Below are 21,739 nucleotides of genomic sequence, written 5' to 3' on the forward strand. Positions count from 1 at the left end.
TTGACCATATCCTTTCTAGGCCTTCCATATCTCCAGTCCTAGTCAGTCTAGCCAACCCCCCTACAGCATCTCCCAGTGTCAAAACATCGCAGGCAGAGCAATATGAATCTAGAAACCACTTTGACTTTGGAGCTGGAGCCTGAAACCCCTCTCTTCTCCCACTGCCCCAGTTGTCTCTCCACCAGACCGAGATCCAACTGCCAAGAGTCAGCTAATTCCTGCCATGTAGCAAACAGAAAACCCACAAAGGTCTTAGGAACCCATCCACTTTTCCTGCTTTCACTCCCCGGACTCTGTTGCAATCACATGCCTTGTCTCTCATTACAAGAAAAGAGTTTGGGCAGCAGGTAAGACTAGGACCCACAGATCTTGCCAGCCATGCTCAAGTCAGTGGCCTTCTCACCATACATGTACCTTGCTGGGGATCTTGTCCTTTTCTAAAGCCCTGTTGAAATATCCCCTTATTGGTCAGTGCTAGGCCAACTCATCCAATGCTTCAGGAAGGGAGGATGGAGGGAGTCCTAGTTCAGCACAGGGCTCGGGTGTCAGGCTAATGTGAGTTTGAATCCCATCTCCAGCATCTGCTGTATGATGTTGAGCAAGTTGCTGTCAAAGTCCAGTGTCATTTTCCATGGGGAAAGAACTGCCTATCTCCAGCGTTATTGCAAGCATTAACTGGAGCAAATGGCCTACAGCATGCATTCAATCAATGTCTGTCAGTATTATTACCAGCAAGGGGCCAGAAGGCCCCAAAAAATCCAGACTCACTTCTCAGATTTCACACTAATACATGGAGACTGGGCTTATAGGACACAAAAATGACTAAATAAGAGGTTAAAAAATGTCTCCTAATCATCCAGATGTTTGGTAGATGGAGCACATATAACATTCCTCAGGTTTCTCCCCACCAATATTTTACCTTCCTCACCTCCTTCTGGGGATATTATAAATAGCTAAGTGATACTGTAAAATGTTCACAGGGGTTTCTCTCCTAACACATATGATTACTTAAAAATGTAAAACATCTGTACAGCACAACAGCCATGAACACGGTTTTGGAGGAATAAAAGATAAACTGACAAATAAAAAAATTCACAGTACATCTTATAAGCAAAGAGCCAATTTCCTAAAATATAGTTATTTCAAAGCCATAGGAAAAGATCAACAACCCAATACAAAATTAAGAAAAGGACTTACAAATGGTCAATAACCTTTCTAATAATGAGAGACATTCCCATTCAAATGACTATGAGAGATTTTTCACTTATGAGATTAGACTATTAATTCCGGCCCATATTGACAAGTGTGTGAGGACAGTGGTGGCATAAATTAGGGGCAACTTCTCTTAGAAGACCACTTTGATGCTAGCTATTGAAATTTCAAAGGTTTATAGCCACTGATGCAGAACCTTCCCTTCTAAATACATATCCTTCAAAAACAGTCCCTCATATATACAAAGATGTATGTACAAAGATGGCTGATAAAGCATTATTTATATCATCCCAAAAAGTTGAAAACCAAGTAAATTGCCACCAATGGAGTTTGGCTAAATGCATAATGGTAGAGCCATACACTGGAACTGTAGCTAGGCACTCAAAAAGAATGAAGCCTATGTACACATAGAGATTTGCACATAAATGTCCACAGCAGCATTATTCACAATAGCCAAAAACTGGAAACAATCCAAATGTCTACCAACTGACAAATGTGCGATAAACCAAATGTGCTATATCCTAAAATGGAATATTAGTCAGCAATGAAAAGGAACAAAGTATGGATCTATGTTACCACATAGATGAACTTCAAAAAACATTATGCTTATTAAAAGAAGCTAGACACACAAAAAAAAAAAACAGACGTTGTGTGATTCCATTTATATGCAATGCCCATAAAAGGCAAATCTATAGAGGCAGAAAATAGACTGTGGTTGCCTAGAGATAAGGATGAGAACACGGAGTGACTGCAAATGAGCAGAAGGAATCTTTTAGGGGTGATGGAGATGTTCTAAAATTGGACTATGGTGTTAGCTGCACAATTCTGAATATTTACCAAAGTCAATGAACAGTACACTTAAAATGGGTGAATTTTGTGGTACATAATTCACATTTCAGTAGAACAACTTTTAAAAATAGAATAGCCAGGTGTGGTGGCTCATGCCTACAATCCCAGCATTTGGAAGGCCAAGGCTGGAGTATCGCTTGAGCCGAGGAATTTGAGGCTGCAGTGAGCTATAATCGTACCACTGCACTCCAGCCTAGGTGACACAGTGAGACTCTGTCTCTAACAATAAAAATTTAAAAAATAGAATAATGTAGATCAATAAATTCTCACATGATGGGCTGGGCACAATGGCTGACACCTATAATCCCAGCACTTTGGGAGGCTGAGGCGGGCAGATCACATGAGGTCAGGAGCTGGAGACCATCCTGGCCAACATGGTGAAACCCCATCTCTTCTAAAAATACAAAAAATAAATTAGCCAGGGGTGGTGGCGCATGCCTATAGTCCCAACTACTTGGGAAGCAGAGCCAGGAGAATCTCTTGAACACAAGAGGTAGAGGTTGCAGTGAGCCGAGATGGAGCCACTGCACTCCAGCCTGGGTCACAGAGCGAGACTCTGTCTCAAAAAAATAATAATAAATAAATTCTCACATGCAAAGGTGTCCAGGATAAACTGTTAAATTTTTTTAAAGAAGCAAAATAGTATAAATAATATCTGATTGTTAAAGCAATCATAATAGTATACATTAGTACGTACTAAAAACAAAAAAATCCGGAGGATTATATAACAAACAAGTAATGACAATGTTCTCTCCAGAAGATAGGGTTATCAGAAACTTTCACTTTCTTTGTGGTTCCCTTCCAGTAGGTCTGATTTTCTTAATTAGGTATTTTTGCTACACGTTTGAACATTTTCTTAGTAAGGTGTTGAGGGGGGAGAAGTGGGCATTATTTTTATAATTAAAGATACACACACAGAATGTAATAGTAAAATAAACAGGTAAATAAAGAGGGAAGGTTGAAAATTGACTCTGTTTTGTTGATACAGCCTAGTCCCAGCTGAAGATACCACATCTGGTCACAAGATGTATGGAATCTCTCATTCTCCCAGCTCCACCGCAGCCTGGAAAAAAAACATCTGAAAACCACCAAGTTCTGTCTTTCTTTCTCTCATTCCAAGCTTCCCAAACAAGCTATGACTAATTCTATTCCCCAACCACCTTGAAGCTGGGGAGAAAGAGGGCCCTAGAGAGGGATATCCCCCAGTGTTAACCTCAGTGTTTGTTGTATCTAGGGACATCACAGTTTATAATGCAATTTCTTATGGATTCCTCAAAGTCTGATAAAATAATCTGATTACTCAGTTAAGCTGAAAAATAGGCCAAGGACCTGAGGATCCCATCAAGATGCAGAGACAACAGGAAGACCTGATGGATGTGCCTGACCCATCTTTCTTTTCTTTTTTTTTTTTTTTTTTTTGAGACAAGTTCTTGCTCTGTCACCCAGGCTGGAGTGCAGTGGCACAGTCATGACTCACTGCAGCCTCACAGCCTCAACCTCCTGGGCTTAAGCCTTCCTCTCACATCAGCATCCTGAGTAGCTGGGACTACAGGTGCTCATCAACATGCCCAGCTAATTTTTTTATTCTTTGTAGAGATAAGGTCTCGCTATGTTGCCCTGGCTGGTCTCAAACTCCTGGCCTCAAGTGATTTTCCTACCTCAGTCTCCCCAAGTGCTGAGATTATAGGTGTGAGCCACCACTCCCGGCCTCAGCTCTGTCTTAATTTCTCTGAGCTCAGACCCTGGCAGTTCGACAAACTTAAGTGGTGTTTTCTTAACTTTTTGTTGAAGTGCAATATAGAAAACTAGGTATACAGAAAAGTATACTTAGTTAAAGGAGGGTTTTTATGAAGACTCAAGGCACAATAATTAATTTTCCCCTTTTCCAATGGAAACCTCAGTGTCACTTTGCGTGTGAGTTTATGCTGCTCCCAAGTAGAGGATGAAGGAGTTAAGCTATTAACAGTCCATAAACCACGCTGGTCCCAGCTCCCCTAAACTCTAGACAAAGGTATATGTGTGCATAGTGGATGATGGTCATTGTTTCCCAACCCCAAGAGGTGCTCACAAGTCAGGTGGTAATAGCTAATGTCTCAAAGAACAGGGGCTGAGATCAGCTCAGGCTTCCCTAGAAAGACATCTCCCTCCAGTTGCCATGAAGAAAGCAAGCTGGGGCCAGGCACAGTGGCTCATGCCTGTAATCCCAGCACTTTGGGAGGCTGAGGCAGGCGGATCACGAGGTCAGGAGATCGATACCATCCTGGCCAACATGGTGAAACCTCTACTAAAAATACAAAAATTAGCTGGGTGTGGTGGCGGGTGCCTGTAATCCCAGCTACTCGGGAGGCTAAGGCAGGAGAATCACTTGAACCAGGGAGTCAGAGGTTGCAGTGAGCCAAGATCAAGCCACTGCACTCCCACCTGGTGACAGAGAGAGACTCCGTCTCAAAAAAAGAAAGAAAGAAAGCTGGAATGACTTCTGCTAGACTATAAGTTCATGAGGGCAGAACGTGTGTCCTCCTGTTCATCAGTGTAAATCCACTGCTGGGCATACAGTGGCTACTCAATAAATATTTGCTAAAATAAATGTTGACTGACTGGAATAAAGTAGGTGAAGACAGAGCCTCCCGGGAAACCAGGCTACAAAGCAGAAATCTCCAGGGCCTGGGAAGGGCTACTGCCAGCCCAGATGGTGACTTGGAGCCCACTGGAAAAGATTCCCATTTCCCCCTGCTGATGCAGCTCCATGCCGGGGCAAATTGCTTGGTGAGAAAAACTTCCCCTGGATTTGGGGCCCCACTTCTCGACCTGGTGTCCTTCTGTAGGGGACAACCTCCATAGCCACACGGGTAGCCCTCTCTGGGATCACGGCTGCTCCTGTGCACACTGGAGACACAAATAATGGAGTCTATTCCCTGTTGGGCTTCTGGAAGGATGCCCAGTTTGTCCACAGAAAAGACTGGTCTGAAGTGGAAACCAAAGGCCTATAAAAACCCTTCTCTAGTCAATAAATGCTTGTTGATTCATCATAGGCACCTGCAGTCCAAAACCTGCATCATCTGAAAAAAAAAAAATGCAACATTTGCCCCTGCCCACTTCCTCAACTCCCTCCACACTCCTCAGAGCAAGAAACCAGAAGAGCAAAGGGGAAACACAAGGCATCCTCCTTTACACCAGAAGACTGCCCTTTTCATACAAAAGCAGCTCCCTGAGCTTCACGCCACATGCCCTAAGAGTGGTTTCATCTGTGCTGTTTCTGGTGTGCAGGCATCTTCCCTTGCTTAGGCTACTGCAATAGCCCCCAACTGGTTTCACGCTTCCCCTTGCCTAACAAGCTGTTCTCCACACTCTAGGAGGAGAGATCTTTCTAAACCAGAAAATTGGTCCCATCACCTCCCTGTTAAAATCTCCAATTGCACATAGAATAAAATACGAACTCTTAACAGGGCCCACAAGGCCCTCCATGACCATGATCTGGCCAACCTCTCCCACTTCTTGTGACATTCTCTGCCTCGTTCTCAGTTCATTCCCGATGCACATACTTTCTTGTAGTTTCCTCTGCCCTTTCTCTTTTCCAATTCCCTAAGCTTGTTGTTCCCACCCCAGGGACTTTGCACTTGCTGCTTCCCAGGCCTGGATTCTCTTTACCTGCTTTTCACATGACATTTCAATATCAGCTTACAGACGTTTCCTGATTTCTCATCAGGAACCATTCCCCTCCACTCATTCTCTATTTCATTGCTCTGTTTTATTTTCTTTGTAATGGTTACCATTATCTGAATCCGTCCTATTTGTTACTTAACCCTTTTATTGACAGCCTCCCTGTCTTCTGTCACCCCTACCCACCTCCAACACACACACACACACACACACACATGCACACACACACACAAGAATATAAGCTCATTTCCCACACGATCACTGGTAACCAGAACACAACAGAAGCTTAATAAATATTTTCTGAAGGAATTACAATAATTATAATTGCAAGACCCTTAACAGTTTGCAAAGAATACTCATATTCATTGCCTTATTTAACAATAGAAACAGTCATATGGGGCAGGTAGCATAACCCTTATTTACAGATGAGGAAGCAGTGATTCAGAAAGCCCAAGGAGCTTGCCGAAGGTCACACAGTAATAAAGAAGCCTGCTTTGCACAAACCCAGGCTTTCTGCCTCCGAGTCCAGGGTTCCTCCCTCGGTTTACTGTTAACATCCAACAGTGCTTCCCAGTCACTGAACAAAAACTTTTAAACACCAGATAAACAGCAAAGCAGTTACTTGCAGGACTAAGTTAAACTCCAAGACAAAAGAAAATAGGAAGCTATGAAACCATTTTAGAAATCACTGAAATAGACAATTATGTAAAATGAGCCCCTCTGAAATCCATGGATGGAGAAGCTGGAAGGCATCCAGATGTCCTATCTCGGTTTTGATCTGTGCTTATGGCATCCTTTGATTCAGATGAAGGACCAGGAATTTGGGGGTAAGAGAAATAAAAAGAGTGATGAAAAAGGCAGTATCTCTATCCAAGAGTTGCAAAAAGAAACTATGACTAATAAGGAAAATTCATTGTAGGAAACTAACCACACGCTACAGGAGGATGGATCAAATTTCTCACCCTTCAGACCAGAAAGTCAAAGGCACAACAAGCAAGCTGCATTTGAAACAATCTTCTGAGTCCTGGTTCAAAGAAAATGAGAGTCCAGTATTCCTGGGAGGATAAAGTGAGGTGGCCTTTGAGGAAGGAGAGCTAAGTGGTGGAGGGGGAAATTTACTTTTTACTCTACTTATAATATCTTTTATGTTTTGAATATGATACTGTGTGTCTATTTTACATATTCAAAAATGAACTGTATTTCAACAAACGATCAAAAGAAAGAGAATGAGAAGGTCTAGGAAGCAATTTCAGCAGGTCAGCTCTTCCCACTCCAGCCTCCTTGTTAGATTTTACCTTTTTCCACCCAATCCCAAAGGCGAGCAGCCCTTACTTTCGGCTCACTGAAATCTACGCTGTTCGGCCTTCAAATCCTGGAGCCACAGAGTTGAAAAAGACCACCTTTTCCAAAGCCCTCACTTTACAGATGGGGCCCAGAGGTGGGAGATTTTCTCAAGCCTCCCTCACTAGTTAGGAGGAAGCTTGGTATTTGAACACAGACCTCTGCCTCCCTCCCAGAGCTGTGGTCCTTCTGTGACCCAAGCTCCTCTCTGCTCAATGCTGATGCTTCATTTTAGGTATCAACTTGACTGGAATCAGGGACACCCAGATCTCTGGTAAAGCATTATTTCTAGGTCTGTCTGTGAGGGTGCTTCTGGAAGGCACTGGCATGTGAACCAGTGGACCCAGTAAGGAAGATCACTCATGTGGGTTGGCACCAGCCAATCAGCTGAGGCCCTGAATAGAACACAAAGGCAGAGGAAAGGCACACTGCTTCTCTCTCTTTCCTGGAGCTGGGGCATCCTTCTTCTCCTGCCCTTAGACATCAGAACTCAGGTCCCCCAGCCTTTGGACTCTAGGACTTGAACCAGCGGCCTCCCCTCAGTTTTCAGGCCTTTGGCCTTAGACTGAAAGCTGCACCATTGGCTTCTCTGGTTCTGAGACTTTCAGACTTACACTGGCCAACGCTCCTGGATTCCCTGGATCTCCAGCTTGTAGATGGCCTAGCATGGGACTTCCCAACCTCCATTATGATGTGAGCCAATCCCCCTAATAACTCCCCTCAGACAGATAGACACACAGATAGATAGGCATATACACACATACACATACACACATGTATACATATATATATGTATATATACTCTCCAGCTGGTTCTATCTGGAGGCCCCTGACTAATGCACACTCAGAGGGCCTGAGCACCAACTGTTAGTATGCACACTGCAGATGTATCAGCCCACCAGGTCATTCTCTTATGCTTTCCCTCTTCTGTGCTTCATCTTCTTACTTCCACAGACCCTTCTAGAACACTCAGGCCCTGCCTCTCACCTGGAGGCAGGACCATCCCCCACAAGGGGAATACAAAATTATGGGCATACGTTTTAAGTCAACACAATGACTGGAGAGTACTACCAGCATTTAACGGGCAGGGGTCAAGGTACTAAGCATCTGCAATATAAGGGACAGTCCCCACAGTGAAGAACTGCCCCACCCAAAACACCCTGTGGAGCAGCCACAGCCCGGTCCTCTCCGTATCGTTTCTCTGAACCGTCTCCCACCTTCCTCCTACACTTCAGGCTGGCAAAGCTGAATGGCCACAGAGCAGATACCCTAAGAAATGCTAGCCCAGTGCTCTCAGAAATAACTTCAACTCGATGGACTGTTGCAGTTACGCACTGTCACAAACAACGATTCTTACTTCAGTCCCACGTAGAGGACAGGCTCCGATGTAATGGATGAGGAAACGGAGGTACTGAGGGGCCAAGTCACTTTCCCGAGCCATGGCTAAAAACTGACAAGACCGCAGCACATGAGCCACACCACGGAAGCCACCCAAGTGTCCCTCCCCAGAGGAGCGGATGAACGTGATGCGGCCTCTACGCATACAATGGGATATTACTCCGCCTTAAAAAGGAAGGGAATTCTGACACACGCCTCAACACGGATGAACCCTGAAGCATTACGCTAACTAAACTACAGCAGACACAGAGGACAAATATTGTATGAGTCCGCTCACACGAGATGCCTAGAGGAGCCAAAACCACGGAAACAGAAAGTAGACTGGTGATTGCCAGGGAATGGGGGAGGAACAGGGAGTTCCTGTTCACTGGGTGCAGTTCCAGTCCTACAAGATGAAAAGTGTTCTGGAGATGGATGGTGGTGACGGTTGCACAACATTATCAATGTATTTAACGTCATTGAACTGTGCATTTAAAACGGTTAAGATAGTAAATTTTATGTGATGTGCTTTTCGACACAATAAAAAAAAATTGACAAGGCTGGCACTCGTTAACTGAGTTCCTAAATCAAAATCCACTCTCCTTAAATTATACCCCAGCCCTAAGGTCTAAATGAAAACATTGCTGCCTTTCCAATACATTGGGCTGTGAGAAATTTAACTACTTTAACTATTAATGGCCCAATCCTGTGCCACAGGGGCCTCATTGAGATGCCAGATTGCTTCTTCAAGACCCTCCAAGGGGGCACGTCAAATTCTGATGGGCCTCACCTTGGACAAGGCTGGGGTTTTTAGACCAGCTTTCACAGCCTGGTAAGACTCCCTCCTCCCCGCAAAAGGAAGGGGATCTACAGAGGGTGGCCAACTTTTCAAAGGGTATTCGGGGCAGGGAGAAGAACTACCTCAATTGTTTAAGAAAGGATAATTTCTGACACACACATACACACACACCACACCACACCACACGCAGGAAATGAAGACCATCATTTGTGTAATAAAGAGCAGGTCTTGAATTGTGTGCCATTAGGTTTATGAGAAAATGTCTACATTGTCCTTATTTTTTTCAGGTTGCTCCAGTGTCAAGACTGACAGTGATCCAGGGACCTTTAGGGCAGACAACTTCATTGTGACAGAATGAGACCTGTGGCCTTTGGACCTCGGTGGGGCCATATGTCACCCCTGCAGGCCCCAGGCCCCCCAAGCCACCAAGAGTCACAGAGGCAGGGAGGGGACAGGAGGAGATCTTGCCCCCACTGCATCTGGCTCTCCTGCCCTCACCATCCGCAGCAGGGGGTACACTACAGCTTCGGCTTTACAAACACAGGGAAAAAGCTAACACAACCTTTAAGCCGCATTAACAGGATCAAGGGATGTATTATTAGTCCTGCTAGCCTCCGAACCATTGAGAGTACTTCTGAAAGACAGTGCTTACTTAGCTTGGGCTCCAGATTTTAAGAGACCCGTTAATAATTTGGAAGGTTTATTAGCAGACTGCAGATCCAAAAATGGTCCTCCTCTATTTGGGAAGATATTGCAGGAAACAATGCTCTAGGAGAGACCACAGCTGGGCCAGCCAGATTGGTCAAATCCACCCTAGAAATGAATTAGGGAGAAGAGATGGCAGCCAGATGGCTTTTTAAATGTTGATAAGCTGAAGTGTGGCCAGAAAAAGAGACCAGAGAATGAGGGAATAAGTCACCTAAAGCATGATGGCAGAATCTAAGCATAAACGCTTAGCAGAGAAAATAAACACACCGTCCATATACACCATGCCCAGCCCCAAGCCCAGGGCAGATCTGATACTCTCCTGCTGACCCTGACACAGCCTCAGAATACTTCTCAACACAGACCGCCAGCTGTCACTGCAATCCAGCACAGTTGGCACATCAGGTAGAAACTATTTCCCACCGCTGATTTAGGAGTACATAAAAGCTGTCTTTATTTTATTTCATTTTATTGAATTTTTTATCTTTTAATTTTACTTTTTATTATTTATTATTTTTATTTATTTATTTACTTTTTGAGATGGAGTCTCACTCTGTTGCCCAGGCTGGAGTGTAGTGTTGTAATCTCTGCTTGGCTCACTGCAACCTCAACCTCCCGGATTCAAGTGATCCTCCCACCTCAGCCTCTCTAGTAGCTGGGAATACAGGTGTGAACCACCACACCTGGCTAATTTTTGTATTTTTAGTAGAGATGGGGTTTCACCATGTTGGCCAGGCTGGTCTCAAACTCCTGACCTCAGGTGATCCACCCACCTCGGCCTCCCAAAGTGTTGGGATTACAGGCGTGAGCCACTGCGCCCAGCCTATTTTATCTTATCTTATTTTATTTTTATTTTATTTTATTTAAATAGAGACAGGGTCTCACTATGTTCCCCAGGCTGGTCTTGAATTCCTGGCCTCAAGTGGTCCTCCCACCTAGGCCTCCCAAAGTGCTGGGATCACAGGTGTGAACCATCATGCCTGGCCAAAAGCTGTCTTCAAATGACGAAACAGCTACCATGAGGCAGCCAGCTTAGATTTTAGTCTGTATTGTTCTAAAGGAGAGAGGCATCTTGCAGTTCCACTCAAGAAAGACTTTCCTAGCAAGACTTTCCAACAATGCAAATAGTCTCATTTCTGAGGTGGTCAGCCCCTTACTGCAGGAAGTTCCAATCAGAAGCCTCATGGTTGTCGAGGACTCTGCATCAGGTGAGAGTTAGGACGTATGCTGTGATTCTTGAGGTTCAGTGTAATCAGGTATGTACTAAGCCATAACATGTGGCAGGAACAGGCACACAGGTTATCACCTCTATTTACAGATGAGGGGGCTTGAGTAACTTTACCCCATGAGGAAGCAGAAGATCAAGAATTCCTATCTACAGAATGGAATACCATCCAACCATTTAAAAAGAATGAAATCCTGGCCAGGGGCAGTGGCTCACACCTGTATCCCAGCACTTTGGGAGGCCAAGGCGGGTGGATCACGGGGTCAGGAGATCAAGAGCATCCTGGCTAGCATGGTGAAACCCCGTCTCTACTAAAAACACAAAAAAATTAGCCAGGCATGGTGGTGGGCACCTGTAGTCCCAGCTACTCATGAGGTTGAGGCAGGAGAATGGTGTGAACCCGGGAGGTGGAGCTTGCAGTGAGCCAAGATCGCACCACTGAACTCCAGCCTGGGCGACAGAGTACAAAAAAATAAAGAAAGAAAGAATGAAATCCTGTCATTTGCAGCAACATGGATGGAACTGGAGGTCATTATGTTAAGTGAAATAAGCCAGGCACAAAAAGATAAATATTACATGTTCTCATTCATATGTGGGAGCTAAAAATGTTGATCTCATGGAGGTAGAAGGTAGACTGATCATTACCAGAGGCTGGGAAGGTAGGGTGGGGCGGGGAGGAAGAGAGGTTGGTTAATGGGTACAAACATATATTTAGATAGAAGGAGTAAGTTCTGGTGTTCAAAAGCACAATAGGGTGACTATGGTTCAAAACAAGATATTGGCTATTTCATAGTAGCTAGGAGAGAAGATTTCAAATGTTCCCAACACAAAGAAATTATAAAAGTTTGACGTCATAGGAATCCTCAACATCCTGATTTGATCACTCCATATTGTATGCATGTATCAGAATACCACATGTACCCCATAAACATGTGCAATTATTATGCATCAATTAAAGCAATTTTTTAAAAAAGAATTCATATCCAGATCATTCGAAGTCCTGCATGTAGTCCACTCACCTCCAGGAGAGGCTGCAAACATCAAGATGAAGCCTCCTCTGCAGCTCCTGGGTCCTCAGATGTGCCTCTGCTGCCTGCTCTTTCCTCCCTAAAAATGCTGCCCAGATTATCATGCAATGGCCCAACAGCTGCTGCTCCAAAAGTTTCAGGCACAGGGCTCAGCTTCCATACTGCTGGACAGCAGGCATCTTGTTTGATCATTATATCTCCAAACAAGAGTACTCTCCACAAAGGGACACAGATGGGATCCTTGACATTGGGCTTAGTGTCTTTGTCCCCAAATCTCAGGCACTATCATTCTTTTGGATCAAGGCATTTAAGGCATCTGTCCCAATGCAAATGTCACTAAAATTGGGTAGCACCTAAAGCCACATTGATCACTGGCTCCCTAGATGATTAGCTCATCATTGGCCTTGAGGTCCCAAGCAAATGGGACACACACAGGAAAGTTTTAATGAGAGGACAGGGAAGAGGATGGCTTGAGGAAAGGCAAAGCAACTCCATCCACATTGCTAGTCCTGCTGCTGCCTCACAGCCCAGGGCAGACCCCACCTCCCATCCTCTCAGGTCCCACCTCTGTCCCACCCCGCTGGTGACAGCATCTGCCTTAGTCCCCAGTGCCTGAGTCTTATTCCTGAGTATCCCAGCCCCATGGCCAGGACATGCATCTGCCAGCCTGGACTTCCTCTTGCCTGTGTAGAGCTGAGGGTCTTTCCCCAGCACTGCCCCTTCCCCCAGGAACAGCAGTTCCAACTTCCAGCCCCTCCTGGTACAATTAAGAGACCACTGGGGACTGGGTCTTCAGCAAAGCTTCCTGCTTTCCCTCAACACATTTCCCACTGCTTTCTAAAGTTATCTCCGGCCAGGCATGCTCATGCTTGTCATTCCAGCCCTTTGGGAGGCTGAGGCAGGAGGATCACTTGAGGCCAGGTATTTGAGACCAACCTGGGCAGCAGAGCACGACCCTGTTTCTACAAAAACATTTTTAAAAGTTAGCCAGGCCTGGTGGTGGTGCACGCCTGTAGTCCCAGCTACTCAGGAGGCTGAGACAGGAGGAATGCTTGACCCTTGGAGTTCAAGACTGCAGTGAGCTATGAGGGCACCACCATACTCCAGCCTGGGCAACAGAGCAAGGCCCTATCTTTTAAAGACAAAATTTTAATATGAAAAAATTTTTTAAATAAAGTTATTTCCCTGCTCTTGGTAAAGAGCCTCCCAGTTTAACACTCCCACCCAGACTGCATTTACATTACAATTCTGGCTCTGTCCATGCTGATCTCCCAGTCAGAACTCTGCTTCCCACTCACCCTCAGAGAATGTCTATGTGCTGCAGAAAGCCAGCCCTTCCTGACAAGGTCAGTCCACACACCCTCTCCTGACTCCATCTTTTGGTGCTCAACGTCTATGCAGCCAAACTGGCGCCTTATTTAGTATCTTTTCCACTGTCTAATGAAACAACTTAGCACATGTGACATTGTCATTACTACTATGTATTGGTTTTATTTCCCAACTCATTTATAAATGTCGGGGGATCAAAGGATTCTTCTTAACTCTGTGCCTGCTCAGCGCCTGGCCAGGGCAGGACTGTAGTAGCCCCTCTCCTTTGGAAACCGCCTGCCCCATCCACAGGAGTAGGGTCTGGCTGACCTAGATCTCTTGTCAATCCCATCCCACTGGCCACAGTGACTGGTTCAGGAATGGCCTAGGTTGATCCCTTCAGAGTTAGGGAGGAGGCATCACAGACAAATGAGAGAGAGAATATGAGTGAGAGAGACAGCCAACAGTCTTTCCATATGTTTACCTCCACCTGAAACACACAGCTGGGAGCAATGGGCAACCACTGTGTACCTGTCATGTAGTTGAAGTACCAGAAATGACTGGCTTCCTGAGAAGGAAGGATGAAGCAGATGTGCAGTGAGAAGACAAAATGAGAGGAAGTGTACTACCGATTCGTAGAACAAACCAGGGCTCCCTGGCCCTCCTTCCTGGTCCCAGGCCAGCCTGGGGCCAACTGCATTTCCCCACCTGGATTCCACAAGACACCCTGCATCTTTATAATAAAATCCATGTATTTCTACTACCACCAGCTTTAGGTGATTTCTGTTGCTTACAATTCAAAGTTCTGATTAAAGCAAGGGAACATGTTAGGTGTTTAGTAAACTCCTGCACGTTGCTGATTCTATTAATGATTTATCACCACAGATCTCAATTCAAATTGCACTTTGAATCTTCTTTTTAGCATCTTCTGTTAAGTGCTTTGAAACAAAGGCCTCTAACTGGCTAACTTATCCATCAACCACATTTGTGTTTCCTAACACAAATATCATGGTCGCACTGATACCAACTTGTACATAAATGCCCACGTGCACCTAGCATGCATATCACTGTGATTCTACATAGCAGACACTCAGAGCATTTTGCCCCCTTCCCAAGAGCATTTTGCCCCTTCCGCTTCTTGTACTCCAAAAGAGAAGAGAATAATGAAAAATAAATCAATTTTATAGTCAACAGCTTGGGTGATATCTCTGTGATAGCACTTAACAGTCACATACCCTGAGCAAGATATTCAGCCTCTGAGCCACACTCCACAAGACATTGCCACTATGCCACCAGTGCTAGGGGCTGAGAGTGCAGTCCTTGTGTGAGACTCACTGGACACTTAAAGAATCATCTCCCAAAAAGATATACCGCAGGATGCTTTTCCAGAACAGAGGTCAGCAAACTACAGCCCATGAGTCAAATCTGGCCTACAGCCTATGTTTGGAAATAAAGTGTTATTGGAACATAGCCACATCCACTTATTTCTCTATTGTCTGTGGATGTTTTTGCACTACAAAGGGAGGGCTGATTGGTTACAACAAAGACCATATGGCCCACAAAGCCTAAAATGTTTATCACCTGGTTTTTACAGGACATGTCAGTAGGTCTAGAAGATGCCAATAATTACACTGTAAAGAAAAAGAGTACCTAGGTTAATAAGTTCAGGAAATAATGAATTAAATAGATTTTTCTACAGGACTTATCAGAGTCTTTAATACATAGAAGTGAGCTATGAATCTTTAGGAAGGGGATGCAGTAGAATGTTTTCTACACTTATTTGAACACAGAGCCCTTTGCTCAGCACACATCTTGAGGGACTGGTGCTCCAAAGTCAGGAGGAGTTCCTCATGATACATTAAAGATACTCAGTCCAACTCCACCTGCATCACGGGGTTGCTAGGGAGATCAAATGCAATGCAACATGAGTGTGCCATGCAAGCCACAAGGCAAACAAGAATCACCCCTTCATCCCAGCCACTCATCAGGTGTTCCAAAGGCATTTTATCCCCGTTTCCCACCAGCCATTATGAGGACAGACACAAATGGCTTCAAGGCATCAACTGTTTCCAAGAACCTGCTGATTCTGAAGAACCATCCCAGCCTTCATAGAAAAGTGCATGACTGTAAGGTTAATGGGAAGGGTTGCTGTGAGATTCGATTTGTTTCCATTAAAGAACATCAATTAATCTTGATTCTGGATGGAAGACAGGCACTTCTCCTCTCGAAGTTTCAATTAGCTCCCAGCACTACACAGGAGTGAAATCGGCTCCAGATAGATCATTTCCTTGTGCAATGCCATTTCACAAGCCACGGGGCTCTGAAGGAAAACAGACGCCCCTGCAGAAGAGAAGGCCTGACCCTCCTCTCCAAACACGCCTGCAACAAACACATGCATACACCATGCCCGCAGCCCTTCCACATGATACCTACAGCAACAGTCAGGTTTCGTCACCGAGTGCTACCCAAGCCAAGTTAATAGAACAACTCATTTAGACATGAGACTTGGCTGTTTCTGACTCAGACCTCTGGAAGCCCCCAGGGAAGGCTGAGCCGGTCAGGACCCCAAACTAGGTAGCAGCCATGACATTCGTGTTGAAATGTCATGCCATTTACAAGTGGTGTGGAAAAGGGAATAGAGGGAGGAAAGTGTGAAGGGAGATGGACGTGTGGGAACACCACGCACCCCTCCTCCACCCTGCACACTTAACCCTGTTCAGGCAGGTCAGAGGGTGCCTGCCCATCTTCTCCCCCCATGCAGACTCCAGCATCTTCCAAATGTCGAGTAATCGTGGAGCACCCTGCCATTCCCAAGAAATACCGCCTTCCCAAAATTGCCACAATTCACAAATACCTTCATATCTGTGGGAGAAAGGCCCCAAGAAAGGGCGAGTCCTTAAACAGAGAGATAAGGGAAAAGTAAAAGGGAAACTCAAAGGATGACTCAATAAAAGAATACACTGAGGCAACCACAGTGAAAACACGAAACTGCCACCAGATGGCTGTACCATGGATGGCCAGACAAGCTCCTATGTCTACACTAGAAATAACTCAGAACAGCAGGGCATCTCCTAAGTGAGAAGCCTGCAGAACCACACAGGGAGGGGCTGGCTGTGCAGGGAAGTGGTGTTGGAGGGTGTCCTATAGGTTGTGAAGGTCTAGGATGGACAATTTCAGCCTGAGAACCAAAAAGCAGAGAGACAGAGTCAAACAGCGTGGAAGTCTAGCAAATTCTATTGCAGAGCAGGGCAATCAAGAGGTCTACAGGCAGGCCTCACTCCCCTCAACTCGTAGCAGCCAACAGATTAGAGCTAACAGTCCTTGAAGATTCCTGCTTCTGGGTAAAGTGCCTGCAGTTTCTACCACCAAATCCCCAAACTTCATAAAAAGATTCAGTTCTCTGTCTCTCACCAGCAGATGACAGAGAGGTTCTGAGCCTGGAGTGAGGGGCCTTTGGAGAGAACAGTGCTTCACGTGACACTCAGGGCTTCCAAGCAGAAACTGCCCAGCTCAGGACCCACCTGAAAGCAGCTCTGTCTCAGCCACTTCCAGGAAATCCATCTGGTCTCTCTGCACCCAACACCACCTTCTCAGGGCAAGGATGGTCAGCAGCTTCCAGGAGAGAGGAGACTACTGTCTGCAAATGTCTAGCAGGCTTTGCTGAGGAAGAGGAAGCCACTGTCCTGAACAGCTCCAGAACAGGCCCACAGTGTGGAAGTTACCAGGTTGAAGACTTGGGTCATTATAAGGAAAACCACTGGGGGCCTTGGAGCCATACAATAGAACAGCTGGGGGTGTTTACTGAGATGAAAGAATTGGAGGCTGACTGTGTGTGAGCCACAGGTACTTTTTAAAAGCAGCTATAAAAGCATTTCTGCTCCCACTCCCTCTACCCCAACCCCATCCCCTGGCAAACTCCCAGCTGCCCGCCCTTCTGCTAGGGGATGACCAAGCAGAGTCCACAATGGCACCTTAAGGTCACAACAGCGCAGGGCCTTTAAAACAAGCCATGACACCAGGGATGGCAAACTCCAACACCTATTGGGGCCAGGCAGGCCGGGTAAACAGGTGACGCAGGCCAGGTAGGGAGTTTAGGACCATGACCAAGGGAGAGCTCAAGTCCTGCCACAGAAGGGCAATCGGTGCTCATCCCCAGAACAAAAGCCCAGCGCTGCCAGACCTTCTGACTTTTATAAAAGCTGCTGGGAAGTCCATATTTTATACAAAATCTCCTCATTTTTACAAGTTGGCATCTAACTCACATTTTTAAAAGACACAGTACAGGCCAAATAAAACACACCTGAGGCTGGATCGGGCCCATGTGCTGTCAGTCTGCAAGCTCTGCATAAAAGTTCAGCTTTAAAAAAAAATTACCAGTAATGTGCAGAGCAGATCCTGCCCCGCAACCCCAACCCCCGACCCCTATCTCTGAGAAATAAGGCAGGGGGTCAGGGGTGGGGTAGAGGCAGTGATATCTTTTGCCCACATTACTTGGTAAGAACTGGAAGTTTACATTTCCATTTTGAGCCTCTTCAGGGAGTCCTGCTTTCCTCTATCAGAAAGAGTTTTACTTTTGTTATGGAAATTATTTTCCTCTACTGGGCTGCAGAAAGCAGAAAATCTCAGATTGGCAGAGACCTTCTAAGTCACCTAGAACAAATCTCCCTCTGATGCCTAAATCCCCACTCTTGACAATCTCTTCCAGGGATTCATCACCCAGCCTCGAGCACCTCCTACGCCTGGGAGATCAAGGCTTAGGAGACTGCCTGCCTGTTCCTTCAAGACAGCTCTAATTGTTAGAAAGGTCTTCCAGACACTAGACTTCTATAAACGCAGCCCAGAATCAGATTAGGTTTTTTGGCAACTGCCTCACAGTGACTCACAGCAAAACTCACTGTCAACGAGAACCTTAAGTCTTTTTCACAAGTGCTGCTGCTAAGCACACCTCTCCCCAGTCTACAGACTGGTTTTCAGACATAAGGGCAAGACTTTACACTTTTTCCTCATTAAATTTCAGCCCACCTACATGGGGTGATGAGATGGCCATCCATTCACAGCTACAAATCTGTTAATTTCTCAGATTGTTTTCAGAGGACCATGACCCCATCTCTGCCCCTCAAATTGTTGAAGCTGATGGCTCTTCATTTCATCGATAACACAGATGGCACCATGAGCACCTGCCAGGAAATGCAACCTGCTATTCACCTTCTCCAAACCCCGTCTGCAGGAAATGATATTTATGGAGGATTGGCTCAAGGTGGATCCATTCCTCCAGGTCAAAAAAACCCACCTGCCCACAGGAGCCAAGCAGGCAACAGAAATGAGCAAAGTGGGCCAGGTGGGCACTGGCACAAGTCCGAGCCCCTGTCCCATTGGAAGGGAACAGCCAATTTTTGCCTCTGAGAATGAGGGCCCAGTGTTCCTAGATCTTCCCATTTTCTAAGAGCTGCCAGAAGTCTGGATTTTTACATGAACTCCCCTGATTTTTTTTAACTCTCTTCATTTTTAAGTGTTGGAAATGATGAATTCATTTTTGTAAATCCTGCAAAGGCCAAACAAAACATGCTAGTGGGTCTAACTTTGCCTGCAAGCCATCCGTTCTGCCATGAATGTTGTAAATTTCACTCTTGGATTGAATCGACCCCTCAAAATCTGGGTAAGAGTAATAACAGAGCGCACTTATTGAGTGTGGCCCACATTCCAGACATTGGGTAAGCATGGGTTATGTCATTTAATCCTTGCAAGAGTCCAATGGGTGCCCATTTGAAAGAGGAAGAAACTGAGGCATAGAGAGGGGAGATGCCTTGCCCAAGGTCAAGCAATTAGTAAGTGACAATGTTGGGATTCAGTCCTAGATCTGTCTGGCTTCCCAGTCCAATGCAGAGTCCTTGGACCACACTGTTTGGGCAGAATTACTTCTTGTGAATTGTGCTTTGGTGTTAAAATTATCAAATTACATTGCGATGTTTTTAACTACTAAAAATGCATTACGGTGGCTACGATAGGAATGACTAAGGACACCATCTAATGCATCACTGGGTCTTCAGTGGCCTCTAGCACCTGAATGCCCCTCCCTCATTCCCCTCAGGGGTTGGGGGGCAGTCAGAGACAAATACAGCAGCACTTCTTGTTGGGGGAGAGTATCCTGCCCTTGAGTAAAACTTCAAACTCATCCTTAAGGAGATGACAAAGGTTTTACTGGAAGTAATGACAGGGAGTCTCCATGGTGAAGTTTGAAAGGATGATGGTAAGTCGGAGGCAGTTTTCCATCACAGACATAGAATGGTTTGTTATGCTGTCATGCAATTCTCATTGTACAACCCAATCTGATGATCATAGTTTGAGACAGAAAATAAAGCATAACTTCTTGGCCTAATCCAAAGGTGGCAAACTCAAACACATGTAGAAACCAGGCAGGTTAGGCCAATGACAAGCAGCAGCAGGTGTAAGAGAAGGGTGTCGTGGGGACCCAAGAGCTTCTGGGATAGGGAGGTGTAGGGGCTCAAGAGCACATACCTTGTCTAAAAAAGGCAGCCGCCAGTCAGCTCTGGCTGATTGGTTACTGCATGAGAACAGGCACCCAGTGCCGCCAGATCATGCAATTTGCTTTTAAAAAGTCAGAAATGCAGATATTTAAATGAAGTTGCCCAATTTTGTTGTGCATCTCAAGTAAATGCACCACTGGCCAATGCTAGCAAATGCACAGCCAGACCACTTCCTGCCTAGTGCTCAGGGTTGGTCCAGAAAAAAAAGTAAGTTGAATTTTTCTCCTGTTGAGTCCTGAACTGCTTCAAACATCCAGAGAAGAGGAGGGAAGCCAGAGAGGCCTTCCTAAATCCTTGGGGGTTACACTAGCCAGCTCCTGGATGCACGGCAGGCACCCTATGGAGGGGTGCTGGGGATGCAGCCTGGACTTCATTGATTTCTTCTGCAGTAGGAGACAGCTAACAGCCACATCCTAAGTTGATCATAGGTTTGGCTGCTAAGTTCTTGGGGGCAACAGAAGAAAGATCAACAAGGTAGAAGAAGGAGGGTGATGTTGACACCTAGCAAGCTAAAAGTCAACTCTAGGCCGGGCGCGGTGGGCTCACGCCTGTAATCCCAGCACTTTGGGAGGCCGAGGCGGGTGGATCATGAGGTCAGGAGATCGAGACCATCCTGGCTAACATGGTGAAACCCCGTCTCTACTAAAAATACAAAAAATTAGCCGGGCGCGGTGGCGGGCGCCTGTAGTCCCAGCTACTCGGGAGGCTGAGGCAGGAGAATGGCGTGAACCCGGGAAGCGGAGCTTGCAGTGAGCCGAGATTGCGCCACTGCAGTCCGCAGTCCGGCCTGGGCGACAGAGCGAGACTCCGTCTCAAAAAAAAAAAAAAAAAAAAAAGTCAACTCTACTTACTCCTCCCCAAATCAGGGTTATTATTAAGGGCATAGTAGTCCACCCACTGGAAGGAAAGGTGATATTATGGACTAGCTAGGTTCTACGATACAGTCATGAACCAAAATTCCCAGACATTGCACTTCTAAGAAGCTCAAAGGTTCAGTCTGGGTGGGTCCAGACTTTTGACATTCTTCTTTCTGTGGCTAGGTAGGCCTGGTCACATCTGGGAGAGAAGCAGGAGCAGTCGTCTAGCTGGTCCCTATAGGAAAGGGGTCAGATACTCCAGCTGTCCCCCAAGGCTGACCCACTCCAGATCAGCTTCCTCTACCCTGGAGCAATAGAGCTGAGATTCAGGTGTGGGCCCGGACAGAGGCCGGCATGGCAACCTCCCTAGGCCAAAGGCGTTCTCCACGTGGAGAACAGCTCACCAGAATTCTGTGTTCAGCCACAGCTTTGAGATAAGATTTCATTTCCTAGCCAGCGGCCTGTGTCACACATATCTCGCTAGAATCTCTTGGGGAGGGGCCAAAAGCCACTGGACAAGGGACAGGATGGGGTCAGGGCCTGAGGTCTGGCATCCTAACCAAATGCCAGTTGGTCCCTACCCCATTCATATTTCTATCTATTTATAGGATAAATTCTTCTCAGGGCTCAAGATCCAAAACAATGTAGCTTCTTTCAATGAGTGGGTGGTTTTTCTCTTAAAGATACTATTAAACTTCGCATTTTTAGAGTCAATTCCTCATCCCCTCCTGCTAAGCGCTCTGCTTCCTGGTTCTCTCTGCCACAGGATTCGCTGTTTCTCTGAATGGTAACCTCGGTTTATTGAGTATCTGCTATGTGTCTATTCTGGCCTG

General features: G+C 45.9%; 1 protein-coding gene and 1 long non-coding RNA gene across 11 annotated transcripts in view, besides 1 other annotated feature; one reads left to right on the forward strand and one right to left on the reverse strand.

Moving 5' to 3' along the window:
- The window catches only part of SRGAP3 (SLIT-ROBO Rho GTPase activating protein 3), a 382,437-nt gene that overhangs the window by 227,615 nt on the left and 133,083 nt on the right, over positions 1 to 21,739 (reverse strand). The window lies entirely within an intron of this gene.
- SRGAP3-AS3 (SRGAP3 antisense RNA 3) lies at positions 8,690 to 11,303 on the forward strand. Its single transcript, NR_103443.1, has 5 exons — positions 8,690 to 8,784; positions 9,157 to 9,271; positions 9,526 to 10,348; positions 11,004 to 11,151; positions 11,262 to 11,303. It is a non-coding gene; the product is annotated as an SRGAP3 antisense RNA 3 (long non-coding RNA).
- Positions 16,191 to 16,450: an enhancer, noted in NCBI's record as "active region_19397". NCBI's record gives its function as "activates an Ori minimal core promoter by ATAC-STARR-seq in GM12878 lymphoblastoid cells {active_cell/tissue: GM12878}" and the evidence as "EXISTENCE:reporter gene assay evidence [ECO:0000049][PMID:35858748]".

Source organism: Homo sapiens, chromosome 3 (genome assembly GCF_000001405.40).
Source record: "Homo sapiens chromosome 3, GRCh38.p14 Primary Assembly".
NCBI lineage: Eukaryota > Metazoa > Chordata > Mammalia > Primates > Hominidae > Homo > Homo sapiens.